Genomic DNA, 1318 nt, shown 5'->3' on the forward strand with positions numbered 1-1318 from the left:
AAATAGATCGCTATCACTCTTTTCTTAAATCTAGAGTACGGCGAATGCAGCATAAGTCAAGGAGTTATCTGGACAAATAGCAAATAATTACCTACGTGGTTTCAGTTGCACTTTTAGTCCTTTGTACACAACTCCCTATTTTCTGCCTTAAAAAATGTGGACGATATTGAGTGCTGTGTGGTGCTTGTTTTTTTGTGTGTTTTTCTTTTCTTTCTTTCTTCTTTTTTTTTTTTTGCAAGGGGATTCTGTTTAAGAATCAAAGCTTGCTTGTTGTGAACACCATTATACACCGTTTACATATTTTAAGCTTTATATTCCAGTTGGGACTCCTATAATTGGATAAGCATGTCATCTATGCCATCTGTGATTTGATAAAAATGTTGAACAGCTTAAGGCAAAGGATGTTAATACAAGTCATTTCATAGATAATCCAATTCAGTGGGCCTTTGCTTCTCACTCATCTCTCTTTGACTATGATTGCTCAACCCATTTTTATTTCTATCACTAAAAGTATAAGCACAGATAAGTCCTAAGGGATCATGAAAATGATACTGTAAAAATTCAAATAAACTAGATATCTCTGTAGTTTTTGAAATTGTGGACTTATGTAATTTCTTGGAATTAGAAATGTAAAATAATAGCCAGAAAGTTCTGGCTTTAGCTTCCTTTTGCAAAATTTAGATACAGCCTATGAGTTGGCCAATTCCACTGGCTTGTATATGTGGCTATTTCATATCCACTTTATGCTAAGGCATTTTTAAAGGGTCCAGCAATGTGTCCAGTTCCAAATGTTCTCATTCTGTGTTTTTTTCTCCTCCCAGCCCCTGGACATCAAGACAAAAAACAGAACAAAAGCTTTACCAAGTCAACATCTAATTTACAAAATTTGTCTACATTCTGCCTAGTTTCATTTTGTTGCATTATTATTTAAAAATGTTAAAATGTATTTCCTGTATTTTCCAATTACTCTCAATATAATTTTAAAATCTGATGTTATAGTTAAATTTGCACTGACTTATTTCCTTTCTCCTGAGAAAATTTGGTAAGAGTCTATTATGCATAGCCCTGAGTTTCACACATTTGAAACTGGGGAATGAGGCTGCTAGGACAATGGTGTTATTTATTATGGTGCATTACCAATTGCACTGCACCTGTCTGGATCATAGGTTTGCAATAATGCAATGAAAATGATTTGAATGGGTCATAGGTCTAATGTGTTAAGCACATAAACAAAGACTGCCCAGGGAGAGTGTTAATCCATGCTCATTAATTTTTAAATTCACATTCTGCAAGTTCATCCAAAAATTTATGAAGCACG

Source organism: Homo sapiens, chromosome 7, assembly GCF_000001405.40.
Source record: "Homo sapiens chromosome 7, GRCh38.p14 Primary Assembly".
Taxonomy (NCBI): domain Eukaryota; kingdom Metazoa; phylum Chordata; class Mammalia; order Primates; family Hominidae; genus Homo; species Homo sapiens.